Source organism: Homo sapiens, chromosome 10 (assembly GCF_000001405.40).
Source record: "Homo sapiens chromosome 10, GRCh38.p14 Primary Assembly".
Lineage (NCBI taxonomy): Eukaryota > Metazoa > Chordata > Mammalia > Primates > Hominidae > Homo > Homo sapiens.
The window spans coordinates 72,121,707-72,144,074 of NC_000010.11; the positions used below are offsets into that span (position 1 = coordinate 72,121,707).

A 22,368-nucleotide genomic window follows, 5' to 3' on the forward strand; every position below is an offset into this window, starting at 1 on the left:
CCTTAACACATATGTGCCTAAAAACAGTGTCAAAATACATGAGGCAAAAGTTGACAGAAGCAAGAAGAAACAATGAACTCACTATTATAGTTGGAGACTTTAACTAACCCCATGTATCAGAAATGGACAGATCCAGAAGGCATAAAATCAGTGAGGATATAGTAGAACTCAACAGCACTACCAACTGACTGGATATAATTGACATCTATAGAATATTTTATCCAACAACAGCAGATTACATGTTCTTCTCAGGCTCACAGGAAACACTGACTAAAACAGATCACATTCTGGGCCATAAAATACGCTGTAATAAATTTAAAAGAATAGAATCATACAGTGTCTGCTCTCAGGCCACAATGAAATTAAACTTGAAAGTGATAACAAAGATAGCAGGAAAATCCCAAAATAGGTGGAAATTAAACCACACACTTCAGCCAGGCGCAGCGGCTCACGCCTGTAATCCCAACACTTTGGGATGCCAAGGTGGGCGGATCACAACATCAGGAGTTCAAGACCATCCTGGCCAACATGGTGAAACCCCATCTCTACTGAAAATACAAAAAGTAGCTGGGTGTGGTGGCACATGCTTGTAGTCCCAGCTACGTGGGAGGCTGAGGCATGAGAATTGCTTGAACCTGCAGGGGCGGAGGTTGCAGTGAGCCAAAATCGTGCCACTGCACTCCAGCCTGGGCAACAGAACCAGACGCAGTCTCAAAAAAAAAAAAAAAAACCCACACACTTCTAACCAACACACACTTCTAACCAACAAAAAGACCTTAGCTACCACACCCTTAGCTGGGTGTGGTAGCTCACTCCTATAATCCCAACATTTTGTGAGGCTGAGTGCTTGAGCCCAGGAGTTAGAGAACAGCCTGGATAACAAAGTGAAACCCCATCTTTACAAAACAATTTAAAATAAAAATTAGCCAGGCATGACAGTGCATGCCTGTAGTCTCAGCTACTTGGGAGGCTGAGGTGAAAGGATTACTTGAGTCCATGAGTTCGAGGCTGCGATGAGCTATGATTGTGCCACTGCACTCCAGCCTGGGTGACAGAGCGATGAGGCCCTATACCTAAAGAAATTAAAAATTAACTTTTAAAAAAGAAACTTCAAGAGAGATTTAAAATATTTTAAGGTAAATGAAAATGAAGATACAACTTATCAAAATTTGTAGGATACATCAAAAGCAGTGCTCAGAGGGAAATTTATAGTATTTAGTGCATGTTAGAAAAGAAAAATGATATAAAATCAATAATCTAAGCTTCTTCCTTAGGCAACTAGAAAAGTAAGAACAAATTAAATCCAAATTAAGCAGAATGAAAGAAATAATTTAAAAAATCAGAGCAGAGGCTGGGCGCGGTGGCTAATGCCTGTAATCCCAGCACTTTGGGAGGCCGAGGCAGGCAGATCACAAGGTCAGGAGATCGAGACCATCCTGGCCAACATGGTGAAACCCCGACTCTACTAAAAATACAAAAAAAATTAGCCAGGCATGGTGGCGTGTGCCTGTAGTCCCAGCTGCTGGGGAGGCTGAGGCAGGAGAATGGCATGAACCCGGGAGGTGGAGCTTGCAGTGAGCCGGGATCGTGCCACTGCACTCCAGCCTGGGCGGCAGAGCAAGACTCCGTCTCAAAAAAAAAAAAAAAAATGAGAGCAGAAATGAAAATAACTGAAAAGAGGAACTCAATAGAGAAAATCAGGAGTGAATCCTAATGTAAACGGCGGACCATGGGTGATGATGTGTCAATGTGGCCTATCGATTTTAAAGATGTACCAATGTGGTATCAGATGCCAATAGTGGGGGAGGCTGTGCGTGTGCAGGGATGGGGGCATTTGGGAACACTGTACTTTCTGCTCAATTTTGCTGTGAACCTGAAACTGCTCTAAAAAATAAAGTTTATTAAATTTTTTAAAAAGTGACCGCATAGTTCTAAATCTCACCCCCCTTCTCTGTCCTCTAGAAAAAAAAAATTGAATTTATCTTTTCAACACTCTTCTAATACTTCAAAACAAAATATTCATTCAAAACAAGTCTCTCCCCTGAGAGTGTTTAAGAAGTTAATTGTGCTTTCGTTCCCTTAGGACAGACTGACTAAAGAGTCTCCCGGGAGGAGCATGGGAGGCAGGCTCCACTCTTTGACCTTGGTAGTAGTCACATTGTTCATTTTATGACTATTTGTTAAACATTAAATGTACGTCTCATGTACATATATAAATATACACATATATATTTCAGCAAAAAAGAATAAACAGTATTTTTAAAAGCTTCCTTCATAAAAATGTCTCTAAGTAAAGCAAACTAAATAAAGATCTCATTGAAATTTATTCATTATAATTGCCCTTTTAAAGGCTCTGAAGAACAGAGATGGGACAAAACCAAAACTGAATGAAATACTTGGGTGGCTCATTCACATCTTTCAAGAAAAGTCTCAATGTGGCTAGAGATTTAAAACATATTTTCAGGGGAAAGTATTTAAAATTAATACAGTTAGTTTAGTACTGCCAGTCTCTTCTTTCTCTAAATTAAAAGATTCTTATATATAAAATAGAAAAGGTACAAATTCATCTCCCTTTTACATGGCTTATATTTTCCAGGATTTCTAAGTGTCTAAAGAAATGGCACTTTTACACTATCCTCTGACTTTAGACCTATAGTACTTTCCATTCTTTCCCAAATATATCACTGTGCCTTTATTTGTACCATATCACCTTCTCTGATGAGTACAACCTAGGGCTCTAATGCCTCCTCTTCACTCTGCAGTCAGAAGCTATGCTTTTGAACAGTTAACATTGTACCCCTGGTTCAATCTGCTGAGAGCACAATCTTGGAATACTGATTCTATTGCTTAAGACCCCAAACAGACTGTCATTACCTCTCTCCCCAGAAGCTGGCAATTAATGACCATTTTACTTCTAGCTAGTGAGGGAGCATTTACTTCCAGGCAGTGTGTCTTTAGGTCAGCATGATTTCTCCAATTATAAATTTATCACTGCCTATGGCTAAACAAACAACATCTTTTTTTTTTTTTTTTTTTTTGCTATCTCTTAGATTAGAAATGGATACTCTCTGAGGGGACACCATCCCATTAATTTGGCCTAGGTCTTCTTCACTCATGCATCCTCCTTTTGGAGCTATCTGGCACTTTTCCATAAAAAACCACCATAACCAAATATGTTTGTTCTTTTTCAGGTTTGAATAACACAGGAGAATGATTCTAGTTGTCAGTTCTTAATTCAAAGTCTTTCTTAGGGCAAGACTTTCTTATTTTTAACTAGGAATAACCAGACACTAGTATATTACAGCTGCAACAACTCTCAAAAAAGCTGTACAAAAGAAAAATGTGGCTTCCATCTGCAACAGTCATTAAAGATTTCTTTTTTCTTACTAAGGCTCCCAGAACACATATTATACCAAGCCAAAAGAACCAATTTTCTTCATGGAGTAGAATAGCAATTGGCTGTTACTCATTAAATTCTTACAGCAATGAGCAATGACTTTCTTTCTTGTTTTGTTTCTCTTTGAATAGTAGATGAAGTTGATTTTTTTTTTCTAAGGCTGCCTCCCATCACCAGCATTCCTGATCCTTGGCCTATGCAGCTGTTAATATGCTGCACACGTATGCCTGGGCTCCTTAACAACCAATACAGTTAACCTTTCTGTTTACTCCAAGTCAGTTCCTATCTTGTTAGTGAAATTGATTTTTTTTCTTTCTAAGCATAATAATTTCATATCATACAAAAACTATATATATGAAGTTCACTGGTTTTCTAAATCCTGTTTTTATTTTAAGGGCTTCAGGAGCCATGGATTCTCATGTTTTAATTGAGAAAGACGTGTCCATTCATGGTAATGCCAAAAGGTGGGTGGACTATGGCTACTTCACAAGCATATTTAACTGCCTCTGTGTTGGGGGTGGGAGGTAACTGTTGGAGCCCACATTTACTTTTATTTTAAAAAAGAAGCTAATTCTCTTGATTGAACATAGGTGAAAGATTATTTTTCTGGAACTAGTGATTAAGGAGTAAAATATTAAATACTATACTAAAGGATACGTCATCATAACTATCTGTGGTCAAAGGCACTTGTCCATAACTCACCCCATGGTTTTTATATTCTAATTGTCTATTAACTATCTGTACCCCTCACGGACTGGAAGCTCCTAGAAGGCAGGGATTGTATCATAATGACTGTTTCATCTTTAAGGCACATAGTCTGGCAGATGGTATATAGTCAATAAGTATTTCTGTTAGTGTTGATATTATATTCGATACAAAAATCTAATTATTAACTAGCTACGGTTTTAGACTAATTGGCACACTCACTGCCCCACCATTAATGAAACAAGCTTTAATTGGCCATTATCCCAGATCAGGCAGATATGCCCAACTTCAAATATCTAATGGTCTCTACCTAAACACTGGGCATCTTTACGGGAGGCAGCAGAAAATAATGCTCAATTTGTGAGTTTTGAGTCTTTCTTTTCTGATTCAGATTCTGCTACTAACTAGCGGTACCTCTGGCAAGTCACTTTACCTTAGTAGATTTCATGTCAGAGATTAAAGTGGGGAATTGGACTAAATGGTCTCCAAGAACCTAGCTAGGTCCAGCTCTAAAAGTGATTGGGCTTGAATTAATAAGGGTATTACTGATATAGCAAGTCCTTGTCAACACCAGAGGGAGCTACATTCATATCATCACTGGGGTGGTTCAGAAGATTTCAGGGAAAAGCAGTTAAATTGAAAACTTACTTTCCAGAATGAGAGAAATTCTATAGCAAGGTAAGAGCTCCACACTGCTCATACGGCCACCCAACAGGCTCTCTGCCATCACCCCACTCTTACAGATGTCAAAGCACCTCACACCTGACTTGTACCAACACACAAGGCTTCAGTTTTAATTCCATGAAAACCCAGTTGGCTTTGAGCCATTCCTAAAGATTTCTTTCCCCATTCAGTCTATTTTCTTTCTTAACCAAATTAACAACAACAAAAAGCAAAGTAATTCATTGTGATACTGGAAAATCCCCAAAGAAGGGAGATAAAGGAGGAGAAAGATTCATATCACACCGAAGCTGTAGCCTGGAAAAAACAGTAAAGTTAACTACAACTGAATTCATTAGCAGCCTGCCACTCAAACCCAAAGCTACCTCAAAAACAAGAAAACTACTCAAAAAGAGAAAACATATCAAGGAAAGGAAGGACTCAGCATAGCTCTGCAATGCAGGTGCGGGAATGCCTGAGACGATGGCTGACACTGCCCTATTGGGCTCCATGGTAAGCAGTCACAGCTGCTGAAGAGTGATGTCATTAATTAAAGCAATGGGGTCACATTAGGCATTTGGCAAAAAAACTGTAAAGAGACAACATAAGGGAATGGAGGGTGGAATAGGGAAGAAAAAGTAAAAGCATTTCTAAAGCTAAAGCCTATTCTGACGTTATCATATACTCCCTCCTCCACCTCAGCAAAACACCCATAGCCTTGAAAATGACCTAAACCCTTACAGAGCAAGTGAAAAGAAGAAATGAAAACCTCTCCATTAGTATCAACTTATGTTTCTCTTTGTCCAGAGGAACAATGGCATGCTAACCTGATGGAGAAGGCATAAATCATGAATATTACAGAAGGGTAGTCTGTTAGAGAAAGACAAATGTAATCCTGAAGAACCCCTTTACTTACATTTCATAGATTAATTCAACACTCAGAAAGGCAAAGCTTCAATGGTCAAAAATGGACCATCTACTTTTTAGGACATAGGCTGTTCCTGAGTAAAAATGGCTTATAAAGCCACTGCAGAGATTGACTTTGTGGGTAAAGAGAAAAATCTACTAAAACAAGACAAATAATTATTTTCCACTTAAAAAAAATGCAAGCTCAAACCTCATAAGTACAGAGTAAAACTTAGGTTGAAATCAACTTATTTCTATGAATCCAAGTGGTTGGAATACCTAAGGGTTTCTTTTTTTTTTTTTTTCCTAAGTGTTTCTTATATCACCAATTTCAGGCAGGGTGCAGAGGCTCACACCTGTTATTCCAGCACTTTGGGAGACAGAGGTGGCAGGACCACTTGAGCCCAGGAGGTCAAGGCTCCAGTGAGCAGTGTTTGCACCACTGCACTCCAGCGTGAGCAACAGAGCGAGACACTGTCTCAGATAAACAAATAAACAAACAAACCACCAATTTCAAATACTCTAGAAGTGCCAAAGCCTTAAGAGGACCAGCTACTTTTCCTCTCTTTCCCTTTAGATAATTAAAAAAAAAAAGTATGAGAAAAAGTATGAAGAAGTATGAAGAAATATACGGAGAACTACTTGTTTTCCTGCCTTATTTAGGACATGTGCCAAAGGATTTCCAATTCACTCTGCTTCATACTGACCTTTAAAATATTTCGGCCATCAAATGATTCTCTTTCCTTGAAGATATATTTGCCTTCCGCTGTGTAGAGATTGTACCTGCCTTCAGCTGTAAATATTCCAAAGATAATGTTAGAAGCTTAGATTGATTGGTTGTTTTCTCTTGGATTTCTATAGGTACATAGGTACGACTAGCAAAATTTTCATGAACTACCTGGAAAGTGGCATAATGAAGAGGAAAAATGTCAGGCTATGAATCAAGAGACCTGGCTTCTAGTCTCAGTTCTGTCAACAATTCATTCAGTATACATTTATTCATTCATCTATTCATTCGACATTCTCCAGGCACTCACTATATATTCCTAACTATGCAACTAGCTACATTATTAGGCAAATTATGTCTCCATTGTGGACCTTAGTTCCTCATTGACAAAGTGAGAGGCAGGACTAAGTGATCTTCAAAGGTTCCTTATGTTCTATAGATCCAAGAAAAGTGGCATATAATTTTAAATATGTAAAAATACATAAGAGTTCACACATTAGCTAGTCAAAACTCATGCTCTGGGTTGATTTAAGGGCTTCCCCCAGAGGAAAAAGAGCCCTTCAGTTGCAATCAAAGGTATCCTTACAGATATTCTACACAGGAATGCAGCAAATCTATGACCTTAGCCTAAACCAAGCTGTGCTCTAGCTTCTTAAGTTAATTTGGGTTGCATATCTCAAAAGACATCCTTAAAGGTTGGCAAGGAAAAGAATATCAAAAGAGAGGGAAACAGGAAAGAAAAAAAATGTAACATCATTTCATGTCCTTCTCAAGTAAAAATTCAATACAGGAGAGTCCAGAGTACAAAAAATTCAAAGCATCCTCAAGAATTAACTCAGAATATTTTCTGAAATATTAATCATTTCCTACCCACTGACAGACCTTCAAAAATACTTATTTCCACATTTAAGTACGTTATTTTACTTTTATAAGTAAGGAGGGTACTAGGCCAGAATTGATGAAATACATCTAGAGTTTTAAAAACTCCATGAACATAATACATAATACATTTCAGCTAGCCCACTGGAGTTGCACATGGGTAACTATGGAACTATGTCTCTAATGAGAAGGATGCTCTTAATCAAAGATCCCAACCCCGTGCATATTTCACAACTTAAAATTAAGAGAAAGAGAATGTGTGAAGTTGCAAAAGAACAACAAATAAATTGATACCAAATAAATATCAAAAAGTGGAAACAACACAAATGTCCACCAATTGATGAAAGGATACATAAAATGTGGCATATCCATACAATGGAATATTATTCAGCCATAAAGAAATGAAGCACCAGGCATGGTGGCTCACGTCTGTAATCCCAACACTTTGGGAGGCTGAAGCAGAAGGACCACTTGATCCCAGGAGTCTGAAACCAACCTGGGCAATATAGTGAGACCTTGTCACTATAAAAAAAAGTTTAAGCCAGACATGGTGGCTCATGCCTGTAACCCCAGCACTTTGGGAGGCCGGGACAGGTGGATCACCTTAGGTCAGGAGTTGGAGACTAACTAGCCTGACCAACATGGTGAAACCCCGTCTCTACTAAAAATGCAAAAATTAGCCAGGCATGGTGGCGCACACCTGTAATCCCAGCTACTCAGGAGGCTGAGGCAAGAGAATCACCTGAACCTGGGAGGCGGAGGTTGCAGTGAGCCAAGATTGCACCACTGTACTCCAGCCTAGGCAACAAGAGCAAAACTTCATCTTAGGAAAAAAAAAAAAAGTTTAAAAATTAGCTGGGTGTAGTGGCATGTGCCTGTATTCCCAACTACTCAGGAGGCTGAAGTGGGAGAATCATTTGAGTGCGGGAGGTGGAGGTTGCAGAGAGCCAAGATCACTCTACTACACTCCAGCCTGGGCAACAGAGACCTTGTCTCAAAAAAAAAAAAAAAAAAAAAAAAAACACACAGAAAACAAAACAAAAAAAGGAATAAAGTACTGATGTGTTATAACATGGATGAGCCTTGAAAATATTATGCTAAGTGAAAGCAGCCAGCCACAAAAGATCACATACAGCATGATTCTGTTTATATGAAATGTCCAGAACAGGCAGCTCTATAGAGACATAAAGTAGGCAAGTGGTGCCTAGGGCTTGGTGGAGGTCAGGGGAGGGCAGAGTGAGAGGGGTAGGAAGAAATGGAAAGTGACTGCCAGTGGGTATGGGGTTTCATTTTAGGGTGATGAAAATGTTCTAGAACTGATTGTGGTGATGGCTATACAAGTTTAACCAGACTAAAAACCACTAAATTATATATATATATCAAGAGAGTAAATTGTAGAGTATGTGAATTATATCTCAATAAAGCAATTATATTTTGAACATCTGCAAATAGAGGGATAACTAGACTGTAAACACACAACACTCTCTTATATAAAGCTCTAGTACTAACTGAATATAAACCTGGATCCACACAACTTAGAATATACAGATTCCTACATATCTGAACTCTTCCTGTGTTAAGAGATTAGTTAATGATGGACCATGACATAGTTTTAAGAGCTCTGAACAAATATTTAAGGACTAAGACAAATGGAAAATGTACTGATAGCTAATAAATGTCTAATAAAATACTGTCTATACCTGCAACGCCCAAAACAGTGGCCACTATCCAGATGTTTTCCCATAAATTTTAATTAAAATTAAAAATAAAAGTTCACTTTCACAGTCTCACTAGCCACCTTTCAAGTGCTCAATAACCCCATGTGTCTAGTGGCTACCATATTGGACATCGCAGATACAGAATACTTCAATCATCACAGACCGTTTTCTTAATACAGTATGTCTTCTGAAACAATAAATTTAGAGTATACTCCAGAGTTCTGAAACTCTGCCTTTACATAATAATGTTAAAATGTACATCATCTCAGGGGATTCTCAATTTGTTTTCCAAAATTAAAATACACTGTTCAGAATAAAACAAATAGCACAAACCTAGTTACATGCTTCTACTGGACAAGCTGCATTATAATACATAGATATTGAAAATATTCCTACTTCCTGTACTACTACTCCCCGAAGGAAAGAAATATGCTCAACTGGGCCGGGCGCAGTGGCTCATGCCTGTAATCCCAGCACTTTGGGAGGCCGAGGCAGGTGGATCACAAGGTCAGGAGTTCAAGATCAGCCTGGCCAAGATGGTGAAACCCTGTCTCTACTAAAAATACGAAAATTAGCTGAGCGCGGTGGCAGGTGCCTGTAATCCCAGCTACTCAGGAGGCTGAGGCAGGAGAATTGCTTCAACCTGGGGGGCGGAGGTTGCAGTGAGCTGAGATGGCGCCACTGCACACTCCGGCCTGGGCGACAGAGCAAGACTCCATTTCAAAAAAATAAAATAAAAATACACACACACACACACACACACACACACACACACACACTCAACTGGAACAAGTTCAAAGTTTTGGATTCTATTACCTACCCAAACAAGAGTATATAGGCTTTAACTGAGTTATTTGAAGCTCTCTTAATCTCAGTGTTCTCAAAAGTAAAATAGAGATTTATTTATAAGTCTTAAATAAAATTCAATATGGCATCACAAAATAGTAGTATTTTAGAACTAATAACTAGATAGCTACAAATTTCTTGGTCCTACCATGACTGTAACTAAACGGGGTTAATTATCAAATGATTGCCAGTTGGGATCTTTGGTACATATCTGAGAGAAATTAAAAGACGTGCCTTAACTAAAAGGGACACACAAATTGTCCTAACTAAAAACCTACAAATAGTCAATGATTCAAGTCCTGATGGAGTTATCTTCTCCTCTAGATAGATTTTTTTTTTTTTTTTTTTTTTGAGAAGGAGTCTTGCTCTGTTGCCAGGCTGGAGTGCGATCTCGGCACACTGTAACCTCCGCCTCCCAGGTTCAAGCGATTGTCTTGCCTCAACCTCCCAAGTAGCTGGGATTACAGGCATGTGCCACCACACCCGGCTAATTTTTGTATTTTTAGTAGAGACGGGGTTTCACCATGTTGGCCAGGCTGGTCTTGAACTCCTAAATGCAAGTGATCCACCCGCCTCAGCCTTCCAAAGTGCTAGGATTACAGGCATGAGCCACCGCACCTGGCCCCCACCTAGATTTTCTAAAACCAAGGTCAGGGCTCAAGAAAGGAAATGAAACCGGAATACGTGACCTTGGTGCTGCTAGTGTATTTTGAACCACGAGTCTTGGAAGGAAGAGCTGCATATGGCTTGAATGTGTGACTCCTGATCCGATGCTGAAGGTACTAGAGAAGCTTTCACTTTGGAGATAGGGACAGGAAGAAAAGAAAACTTCTTTTTGAAATAAACAACTATCCCAAATCAAGGATTAAAACAAGGCATTTTTATAAAAAGGCTCAGAGTCCATGAAGAAAAAAACTATTATTTTAACACAAGGTTTCTCAACCTCTGTGCTACGACATTTTGGGAAGAATAATTCTTTGTCATGGGGGACCGTCCCATGCATTGTAGAGTGTTAGACAGCACCCACTAGGTGCCAGCAGCAACCCATCTCCAGCTCCCTAACTATGATAACCAAAAATGTCTCCAGACAATGCCAAATGTCATCTGGGGGCAAAATAACCCCCAGTTGAGAAACACTGATTTAACATTTACTTTCACTAGCTCACCTTCCTTTCTTTTTTCTCTTTAAAAAAAAAAAAAGCCACCAAGTATTGCATGCGACATACTTATGCCAAAAATTTATTCACTGTTTATATAAAATTTACCAGAGCATCCTGTATTTGTATTTGCTAAATATGGCAATCCTATGTGTGACAGAAATAAAAGATCTGGAAGCCACAGTTCCATGCTATATATGTTCTTGCCCACCTCTACTATGCTCATCAGAATAAGCTAAGAGGTCTAAAAAAGAAGCTATATCAGAGATTCTTTGATAGCTCATTCTACCTAAACCTCAGAGATGCCACAAGGCCGCTGATCACAAACTGTGCTATAGTTCTCTGGGGGACTTACCATTGGGGTCTTTCCTGAATAGTGTATTCATAACTGTAGCATGCAGTTTCACACTATTCCACTCTTTCACTATTAGTCCAGATGCCTGAAAACGTTCCAGCACTCGATCAACTAATTCTTGTAGCCTGGAGAAATTGGAGAAAAGTAATGCAGAAATCTTAGTAAACTTCTGAACATGCGATTACCAATTCAACAATGTTTATGGAGCATGTGCTCTGTGCTAATCACCATACAAAGCCCTGCATCACAGGAGGAAGAATAAGAGACTCATCTCCCACCATCATGGAGCTAAAGATCAGTCTTGTTTGTCTGCTTAACAGATAGTAGAAATAAATGATGGCAATATATTATGGTGAGCGTGAAGGGAGTGATCAACTCTACATGGAGAGGGCCAGGTTTCCACAGGAGGTTTAGACATAGTCTGGAATGATCATTAAAGATTTGCAAATAACACCAGGGAAGGAGGGGCACTTCAAGTAGAAGAAGAAACAGCAAGTGCAAAGATGCCAAGGCATGCAAGATCACAGCATATTCAAAAAACTGTCAATTATTTACAATACAGTTATGACAGAGAGTGACAGAAAAGGGACAATGGAGATGAGCTAAGTCTATAAGCAGTGGTCAGATTAGGGAAGCCACAGAAAGACTTTCAAAAGGGAATTATGTGGTCTGATGTCCATTTTTGAAAGCTGACTCAATAGCAGAGTGGGAAGGGCTTTAGAAGAGGAACAGCTACAGAGGTCAGTCAGCTAGGTGGCTACTTCAACAGTCAACATCACTATGATGTGTCAGGCACAGTTCTAAGCACTTTTTATCTGTTAAATCATTTAATCCTCATAACCAATTATTATCCCTATTTACCAATACAGAAGCCAAGGCACAGAGAAGTTACAAAACTTGACCAACTTCACAAAACTAAGTGGCAAATCCAAAATTAGAAGGGGCCGGGTGCAGTGGCTCATGTCTGTGATCCCAGCACTTTGGAAGGCTGAGGCAGGCTGATCACTTGAGGTCAGGAGTTTGAGACCAGCCTGGCCAACATGGTGAAACCCCATCTCTACTAAAAATACAAAAACTAGCCAGGTGGTAGTGGCGCGTGCATGGTGGCTCACACCTGTCATCCCAGCACTTTGGGAGGCCAAAGAGGGAAGATCACTTGAGGCCAGAAGTTCAAGATCCACTTGAGCAATATAGCAATACCTCGTCTCTACAAGAAAAATTTTTTAAATTAGCTGGGCATGGTGGCATGCACTTGTAGTCCCAGCAACTCGGGAGGCTGAAGCAGGAGGATAGCTTGACCCCAGGAGTTCAAGGCTGCAGTGAGCTGTGATTGTGCCACTGCACTCTAGCCTGGGCAGCAGAGTGAGATCACGTCTCTTAAAAAAAGAAAAACAACAATAACAAAAAACAACCCTCGGTTTCCTATGGTCTTCCAAGTAAGAGTCCAATCCTTCCTGACCCATGTGGCCTTCACAGCTTGGCTTCAGCCTGCCTTTCTGTTTCATTGCTGCCCTTCCCTTTCTATAGATTTTCTCCAGTCCTTGAATGTATTATGTTCTTTGATATTGAATCTCTCAATTACTTAGGACAAACATTGTTTTAGAATCACCTTCACTTCTTTGACTCCCTTATACCAGGGCATCTCACTTCTCACCACTTCCAGTGCCACTGTCCCAGCCACCTGGGAACCAGCAAAGACAACTGATAAGGATGAGGAAATAAGAACAGGAAGACTTCAGAGAGGCTGAAATGAGAATTACAAGGGGGAAAAAAGGAATAACCGTACAGTACAACACTCGAGAAAAGAAAAAAAGCAAAAATATGCCTCCTTGTTTCTCACAATTAGAGTCCTCTATCAGAGCAGTTTTGCTAGCACACTGGGGATAGAAATCTTCTGACGGAGGAGCCAGAGAGGAGGGAAGGCAGGAAGTGCACATAACTCTGTCAAGAAACTTGAAAGGAAGGAGAGAAACGAATACCTGGGGAATCTGAAGATACAGAGTTGAGTGAGGGCTGTGTGTGTTTTCAATGAGGAGAAAAAGTTGCAAACGCTTACTGACAAGAAATTATCCAACAGAGAAAGAAAAGGAAACCAGGCAATAGGGGAAATGGACAGAACAAGACCTCAAAGGATGGTGTGTTCACAGGTGATAGGAACACAGCAGTGAACAAAACAAGCCCCACCCTTGTGCAGCTCACATTCAGGTAGGAGGAATGAACAAACACACACGCACACCTCTGGGTGCCACATGCCTTGAAGGAGATGAAACGGCAGAGAGGGAGTAGAGTGTGAATGGGGGTGGGGGCACTATGTTAAGTAGAGTGATCAGGAAGGGTCTCCCTAATAAAGTGACATTTGACAGAGACCTGAGGGAAAAGCATTCTGGAGAGAGGAAACAGCAAATACGCATTTCTGAGACAGGCATATGCACAGAAGGACTGAGGAATAGAAAGGATGCCAGTGTCTGCAGTGAAACTAGGAAGAGAGAAGTGATGAAGTCGGAGAGGTGTGACCAGGTTAGCTGAAGCTCTCAGGCCCATGGAACGACTTCAGTAGTTACAGAGTGAGGTGGGAGCTTTTGGAGGGTGTTAGGCAGAAGACTGACATGATCTGGCTGCTGTGTGGAGGACAGACAGCAGTGGAGGCAGGACAGAAGCAGGAAGGCAGTTAGGAGGCTGTGGCAATCACCCAGATGGCTGGGACAGTGGCACTGTAAGTGGTGAGAAGTGAGATTCTCTGGTATAAGGGAATCAAAGAAGTGAAGGTGACTCTAAAACAATGTTTCTCCTGAGTATTTGAGAGATTGAATGTCAAAGAACACAATACATTCAAGGACTGGAGAAAATCTGTAGAAAGGGAAGGGCAGGCTGAAGCCAAGCTGTGAAGGCCACATGGGTCAGGCAGCATTGGACTCTTACTTGGTAAGCCATAGGAAACCGAGGGTTGTTTTTTGTTGTTGTTGTTGTTGTTTTTCTTTTTTTAAGAGACATGATCTCACTCTGCTGCCCAGGCTAGAGTGCAGTAGCACAATCACAGCTAACTGCAGCCTTGAACTCCTGGGGTCAAGCTATCCTCCTGCCTCAGCCTCCCAAGTTGTTGGGACTACAAGTAAATGCCACTGAGAGGTTAAGCCAGCTGGACTTCCTGGGTTGAATGGGGGACTTGGAGAACTTTTCTGCCTAGCTAGAGGATTGTAAATGCACCAATCGGCACTCTGTAAAAACGCACCAATCAGCGCTCTGTGTCTAGCTAAAGGATTGTAAACGCACCAATCAGCACTCTATGAAAACGCACCAATCAGCGCTCTGTGTCTAGCTAAAGGATTGTAAACGCACCAATCAGCACTCTGTGAAAACGCACCAATCAGCACTCTGTGTCTAGCTAAAGGATTGTAAGCACACCAATCAGCACTCTGTAAAAATGCACCAATCAGCGCTCTGTGTCTAGCTTAAAGATTATAAATGCACCCATCAGCACTCTGTAAAATGGACCAATCAGAATGGGCCAATCAGCAGGGGGATGTGGGCGGGGCCAAATAAGGGATAAAAATAAAAGCTGGCCACCCAAGCCAGCAGCAGCAACCCACTTGGGTCCCCCTTCCATGCTGTGGAAGCTTTGTTCTTTCACTCTTCACAATCAATCTTGCTGCTGCTCACTCTTTGGGTCCGCACTACCTTTATGAGCTCTAACACAACGAGGGTCTGCGGCTTCATTCCTGAAGTCAGCAAGACCATGAACCCACCGGAAGGAACAAACAACTCCGGATGCGCCACCTTTAAGAGCTGTAACACTCACTGCAAAGGTCTGCAGCTTCACTCCTGAAGTCAGCAAGACCACGAACCCACCGGCAGGAAGAAACTCCGGACACATCTGAACATCTGAAGGAACAAACTCCGGACACACCATCTTTAAGAACTGTAACACTCACCACGAGGGTCCGCGGCCTCATTCTTGAAGTCAGCAAGACCAAGAACCCACCGGAAGGAACCAATTCTGGACATACCACCATGCCCAGCTAATTTTTTTTTTTTAACTTTTTGTAGAGACGGGGTATCACTATATTGCTCAAGTAGGTCTTGAACTCCTGGCCTCAAGCGACCTTCCCTCCTTGGCCTCCCAAAGTGCTGGGACGACAGGTGTGAGCCACCATGCCAGGCCATCAATGACAGTTTTTAAGAAGCAAGAAACAGGCCAAGTGCAGTGGCTCACGCCTGTAATCCCAGCACTTTGGGAGGCCAAGGCGTGCAGATCACGAGGTCAGAAGTTCGAGATCAGCCTGGCCAACATGGTGAAACCCCATCTCTACTAAAGATACAAAAAATTAGATGGGTGTGGTGGTGCATGCCTATAATCCCAGCTCCTTGGGAGGATGAGGCAGGAGAATAGCTTGAACACGTGAGGCGGAGGTCGCAGTGAGCCAAGATTGCGCCATTGCACTCCAGCCTGGGTGACAGGGCAAGACTCCATCTCAAAAAAAAAAAAAAAAAAAGGAAAAAACATAAGGAAAAACGAAAAACAACTAAAAGCACGGAAACCAATTAAGAGAGATGTTGTGCTTCCTTATATAGTTATCTTAATCTTTTTCCCCAATTACAAAAATAATACAAGCTCATTATAGAACATATGAAAAAAGTACGAAAAGCATAAAAAGGAAAACATAACCTCACCACGCAGATAAACACTTAACCTTTTGTGTTAAATGTATATCTATGGATGGTGAGGTTACGTAATCAGAAAAAATTTTCAGATAAACTGCTTTTAAAAGTTTCTGATTAACACCATCTAAGAACCATAATATTTCTTCTTCTTCTTTTTTTTTTTTCAGAGACAGGGTCTCACTCTCTCATCCAGGCTAGAGTGCAGTGGCACGATCTCAGCTCACCGCAACCCTCTGCCTCCCAGGCTCAAGCGATTCTCCTACCTCAGTCTCCCGAGTAGCTGGGATTACAGGCGTGTGCCACTGCCACCGGCTAATTTTTGTATTTTTAGTAGAGACAGGGTTTTGCCATGTTGCCCAGGCTGGTCTCAAACTCCTGCCCTCAAACGATCCACCTGCCTTGGCCTCCCAAAGTGTTGGGATTACAGGCGTGAGCCACTGTGCCTGGCTGAACCATATATTTCTAAATATAACTTAGGTCTGAATATAACCATGCACCGCAAATTGCACTTCAGTTACAAATCACAACAGAATAATTCCTCACTTTCCCCCTTAATCTCTTGAAGAAAAAAAGTAGACAGGGAGTTCAGCTATATAAAACTGAACATGAAACACGAAGCATGAAATACTGGAGTAAGTAAACTAAACAGACTACATGAAAGAAATCAGTTTCCACCTTTGTCTTTCTGGAAAACTAGGATTTCTGACAATTTACAGACTCAAAACTTTGAAGGGACTAATATCCTTTAAAAAGTTCTAGTGTAACCTGCTCTTTTTACACAGAAGGAAATGATGCAGAGAGGCTGGGTTGCTCAGTCAGTGACAGAGGAACCAGAATCCAAGTCTACAGGCAGCCTGTGCTGTTTCCTTTTTCTTTCTTTCTTTCTTTTTTTTTTTTTTTTTTTTTTTGAGATGGAGTCACTCTGTCACCTAGGCTGGAGTGCAGTGGCGCAATCTTGGCTCACTGCAACCTCCATCTCCCGAGTAGCTGGGATTACAGACATTCGCCACCACACCCAGCTAATTTTTGTGTTTTTAGCAGAGATGGGGTTTTGCCATGTTGGGCAGGCTGATCCACTGACCTCAGGTGATCTGCTGGCCTTGGCCTCCCAAAGTGCTGGGATTACAGGCGTGAGCCACCGCGCTCGGCTTGTTCTGTTTTCAATTCACTGTGCACTCCACGAAGACTGGCTATTTGTCTTATTCACTGTTTTATCTCTGCACCTAAACTAATGCCTAATTGGCACATAATCAGTGCTCAACAGTCTTTACATGCATTCATGAATGAATTCACAGATAGCAAATATTTTGGAATTCTATTAAGAGAGCTTAAGGGTACTTGGACATAATCGTTAAATTTCAGGTTGACAATATGTCACTATATTTCTTTTTTCTTTTTCTTTTTTTTTTTTTTTTTGAGACGGCGTCTCACTCTGTTGCCCAGTCTGGAGTGCAGTGGCACAATCTCAGCTCATTGCAACCTTCGCCTCCCAGGTTCAAGCGATTGTCCTGCCTCAGCCTCCCGAGCAGCTGGGACTACAGATGCCCGCCACCACGCCCGGCTAATTTTTTGTATTTTTTAGTAGAGACAGGGTTTCACCGTGTTAGCCAGGATGGTCTCGATCTCCTGACCTCGTGATCCACCCAACCTTGGCCTCCCAAAGTGCTGGGATTACAGGTGTGAGCCACGGCACCCAGCCATTTCTAACAGTATATTATTTCAATTCTTATTTCATTGATCCTTTCCTGTTTATGAATAAATCACAAAGCTTCTCTATGCCTTTGCTTCCTAATAAGCAAATTAAATATAACAGGGTTGCTATGAAAAAAGGAATGAATTATTCTTAAGCAGCTTTATCACTTAGATAGTGCTTTGGATTTGAAAACAGAAGCCAGTTATTAATGCACTAAATCTAAGCTCTTAGTTTAAAGGCCTGTAAGTGCTATAAAGCTCAAGCATTCCAGGACCATCTTTACAAATAAGGAGTTTGTGCTGCAGAATGATCACTGACTGCCTAGAAAGTGCAAATTTCAAGCTTTTGTTTGGGCTTTCCCTCCCAATTTAATTCAGCTCCATCCAATTAATGCTTCCTGAGCGCTCACTGTGTACAGACATCATCCTAGTGATTACAAGAATAAAAACTAAGCAAAGATGGTCCTTGTTATTAATAGATCTACAATCCACTAAGATAAAATTTTGTTATTATTTTTATGAGACTATAAAGTAGATTTTGGTAATAACATAAGCAATACAGAGTGTTTCGGGTAATTTAAAAGTGGAAGAGATTATAGTGGGGTTAGGACCAGTATAGGTTGCAAGGAGGACGGGCTTAGGATAAGAAGCTAACTGCACTCAATGCATTTTTTTACATCAGTTAAATGAATAAATAACAAACATTCTTCGAACATCTATGTCATGCATTACAAAAGGCAGCCAAATAACACATAACTCCCTGCCCCCAAGAATCTTACAGTCTATTTAAGAAAAAGAAGAAAGGATGGCAAGAGGAAAGAGAAATAGCATTTGGACAAAAGAGGAGTAATATAAGGGAAATTTCAGTCACAAGAAACAATATTAACAACAAAAGATCAACAACCAATAATGAAGCAGGCTGGGGCCCAGGGCAGGCACTAGATAGTGGGAGATAAAGCTGAAGTATTAAGATGATGTCATACTGGAAGATCTTGAATGCTAGACTGAGGATTATGAATTCAAAAGATGATGAGAAATGATGAAAGATTTTTAAGCAAAGTCCTATGGTACATAAGCTATTGCTTAGACTGATGTAGTAGTGTTTCATAATATCTATATTCACTAACATAAAAGTAATGTGTAGGTTATATTTCACAAGAATGAACTGCAGAAATATATGTGTAATGTGATCAATTTATGTAAAATTATATGCATAGACAATGACTCTCGGTATTTGCTCTGAGGAGGAAAACTCAAGAGTTGGAGGAGGGGGAAAAGGAACTGTTTAATTTTCACTTCACCCATCTGTAAGATTTTATTTTTGTAAGCAAAAACAATGTAAAAAGAGGCTTGGCTGTGAAAGGAAGATGGCAAACTATGTATAGTGATGCAGGGCTGCACCACTGTGGAATTTAATGCACACATATATACCTCTCTCATCTTTTCACCAAACGCTCAAAAGAGTAGACTATATCCACTTATTTTTAATGTCCTCTTTCTGTCCCATAAGCACAGGCTTTACAGTCAAACAGAGCTGGGTCAAACCACAATTCTACCACTTACAAGCACATACTAATTACCACTAACCTGGAGCTGACCAAGTATACCAAGTATAACATCAAATTGTTTATAGATAGATAGATAGATAGATAGATAGATAGATAGATAGATAGATAGATATAGATATAGACATAGAGATATAGATATACAGATATATATAGATATATATCAGACAAGCTAAAAGAAAAAAATTACTTGTTATCCACAAATAACGACTGGTAAATTGTTTATGTATCCAGGCTGACTTATTCTTCTATTGCTCTCTCTTCCCACTTTTGAGATAGAAGTCAGTATACAAATTGCTTTGTAATCTCTTTTTAACACATAATAATCTACAGTGAATACTTTCCCAAGATATAATGTTTAGTCAACCCACAGTATTCTCTATTCTACAGATGTTCTACAGTTTATTTTCCATCAATTTGATTTTGATGACCATTTAGACTGCCGCCAGTATTTACTGTTATATACAATACTGTAATCGGGATCTTCATATAGATATTTGTCCCCATATTTCTGATTAATTCCATTGGATAAATTCCTACAGGGAAAATCAGCAAAGTCTAAGAAATACAAAATAAAACTCTGGGAGTAAAAGGCGAATATGCTCTCTAGAAAGCTTATATTAATTTATACTTTTACCAGCAATGACCTTCTCATGTCTCTTATCAAACATCTACCTAGTTTTCTTCTACTTTTAAAATTAGCCTTCCTTGTAACAGATGAATTACTGAATAGATTTAAGCTCCCTAACATAAGAGCCATTGTACCCATTTTTGTTTCCCTTACGGTATCTGATACAATGCCTGGTACTTTGTAGATACTAAATTATTTATTTTTGGATATTTATCTTTTGTCTAACTACTTATTAGCACTTTTACTGATCTCTTATCAATGTTAAAGCTTTTACAAGTATTTTTAGTAGAATGCTATTTATTTGCAAATAATGACCATTGGTCTTCTAAAAAAATTTTCCCACACAACACCTATGTACTTTTTAAAATTGTCTCTGTAGCTGGGGTATTAGCCAAAACTGTCAGAACAATGTGTTTAATATTAATGATAAATGTAGGCAACCCTGTTTTCTGATTGTAATGGGAATAAACCTGGTATATTACTGTTCAATATGATTGTTGATTTAAAATAGACATATTAGACAGTATCTATTTTTATTTTTTGAAAGTTTCTTGAAAAAATATTAAATTTTATCAAAAGTCTTTCAGCCATGCACTTAGCTATTATTTTTTAATTTGACCCATTTAGTAGGATATTATTAGATTTTTCTGTTCCTAATTCATCTTTGCATTCCTGAGATTAACCAGTTTAGTCATGAGAGTTCACATTCATCTTATTCTTACCCTCTACTTTCAGAAAATTGCCAAATCCAGCAGATTTCACTTTTTTTTTTTTTTTTGGTGAGACTGAGTCTTCCTCTGTTGCCCAGGTTTGAGTGCAGTGGCGTGATCTCAGCTCACTGCAACCTCCACCTCCCAGGCTCAGACAATCCTCCTGCCACAGCCTCTGGAGGAGCTGGGATTACAGGCATGTGCCACCATGCCCGGCTAATTTTTGTATTTTTCGTAGAGACGGGGTTTCACCATGTTGGCCAGGCTGGTCTTGAACTCCTGACCTCTGGTGATCTGCCCGCCTCAGCCTCCCAAAGTGCTGGGATTACAGGTGTGAGGCACTGCACCCGGCCAGATTTCACTATTCTTGCATCCACGTGATTCTCATTGCTACTGCTCTAGTTCAGGCCTTCTTTGCTTCTCAGCTGGACTAGAGTAATGACTTTTAAATACCTCCCCCTCCTGTTCCTGATACTTCGTTTCCATTACACATGTAGTATATAATTGCATACAATTCATATAGTCTCTCAATTTATTTATAATTTCCTGCAAAAAGGTATTAAATGGGCCAGGCATGGTGACTTACGCCTGTAATTCCAGCACTTTGGGAGGGCTGAGGTGGGTGGATCACGAGTCAGGAGATCTAGACCATCCTGGCTAACATGGTGAAACCCCATCTCTACTAAAAATACGAAAAATTAGCCGGACATGGTAGTGGGCGCCTGTAGTCCCAGCTACTCGTGAGGACAAGGCAGAAGAATGGCGTGAACCCAGGCAGTGGAGCTTGCAGTGAGCAGAGATGGTGCCACTGCACTCGAGCCTGGGTGACAGAGCGAGACTCCGTCTCAGGAAAAAAAAAAAAAAAAAAAGGTATTAAATGTGTTATTAAATGTGTTTTGTCATAGTTATTCCTAATTTCCTTATAATTTTTGTTGCTACTATAAATGTGTTTTATTTTAAATGATACTGCTTTCTGTTTGCTGCTGGTATACAGAAAACCAAAGGATTTTATTATACTGATTTTACAGTCAATCACCTTACTAAACTCCCTTTTTGTTGTTGTTGTTGTTGTTAAGAGACAGGGTCTCTCTGTTGCTCAGACTGGCCTCAAACCCCTGGGCTCAAGCAACCCTCCAGTCTCAGCCTCTCAAGTAGCTGGGATTACAGATGCATACCACCACGCCTCAAACTCCCTTATTATTTCCTAATAATTTGGTAACTGTAGGTAACCTTGTTTTATCTCTGGTCAGAAAGTATAATATGCAAGATACCAACTCATTAAAATGTACTAAGCCTTACTTTATGATCTAGTATGTAATCATTTTTTTTCTACTGTTCCATGTGCCTGAAAAGAATATGAATTCTCTAATTACTGGGCATATAATTCCAGAGATGAGTATTAGATAAAACTTGCTCATGGTTAAAATATTCTGTATCTTTACTGACTTTATATCTGCTTGATCTACCAATAATTAAGAAATAGGTTGCAATCTCCTCCTATGATGAAGGGTTTCTCAGTTTTTCCCTAATAAAAAATTAACTATACAAATTTCACTTAATCTACTTTGAGGCTGTTCTATTAGGCTCATACAAGTTCAGAACTGTTATATCTTCCTGGTAAAATGAACCCTTTATCATATATAATAGCCTTCTCTATTGCTAATAATGCATTTTTTCTTTTCTTTCTTTCTTTTTTTTTTAACAGTCTCACTCTGTTGCCCACACGTGATCTTGGCTCACTGCAACCTCCACCTCCTGGGT

The 22,368-nt window shown here is 40.0% G+C and overlaps 1 protein-coding gene across 38 annotated transcripts in view; it reads right to left on the minus strand.

The window, feature by feature from the left end:
* ASCC1 (activating signal cointegrator 1 complex subunit 1) overlaps window positions 1–22,368 on the minus strand; it is a 121,103-nt gene that overhangs the window by 25,675 nt on the left and 73,060 nt on the right. For 33 of the 38 annotated variants that reach the window (NR_045564.1, NM_001369099.1, XM_047425258.1 and 30 more), the window contains 2 exons: window positions 11,351–11,475; window positions 6,376–6,461 (listed from right to left, as the gene is read on the minus strand). Coding sequence is in view for 37 of the 38 variants with exons in the window: in NM_001369099.1 (NP_001356028.1) it covers window positions 6,376–6,461; window positions 11,351–11,475 (211 nt within the window). In the remaining variant the exon portion in view is untranslated. The remainder of the gene's footprint in view (window positions 1–6,375; window positions 6,462–11,350; window positions 11,476–22,368) is intronic. The other 5 variants (XM_047425261.1, XM_047425259.1, NM_001369112.1 and 2 more) reach the window with 1 other exon arrangement.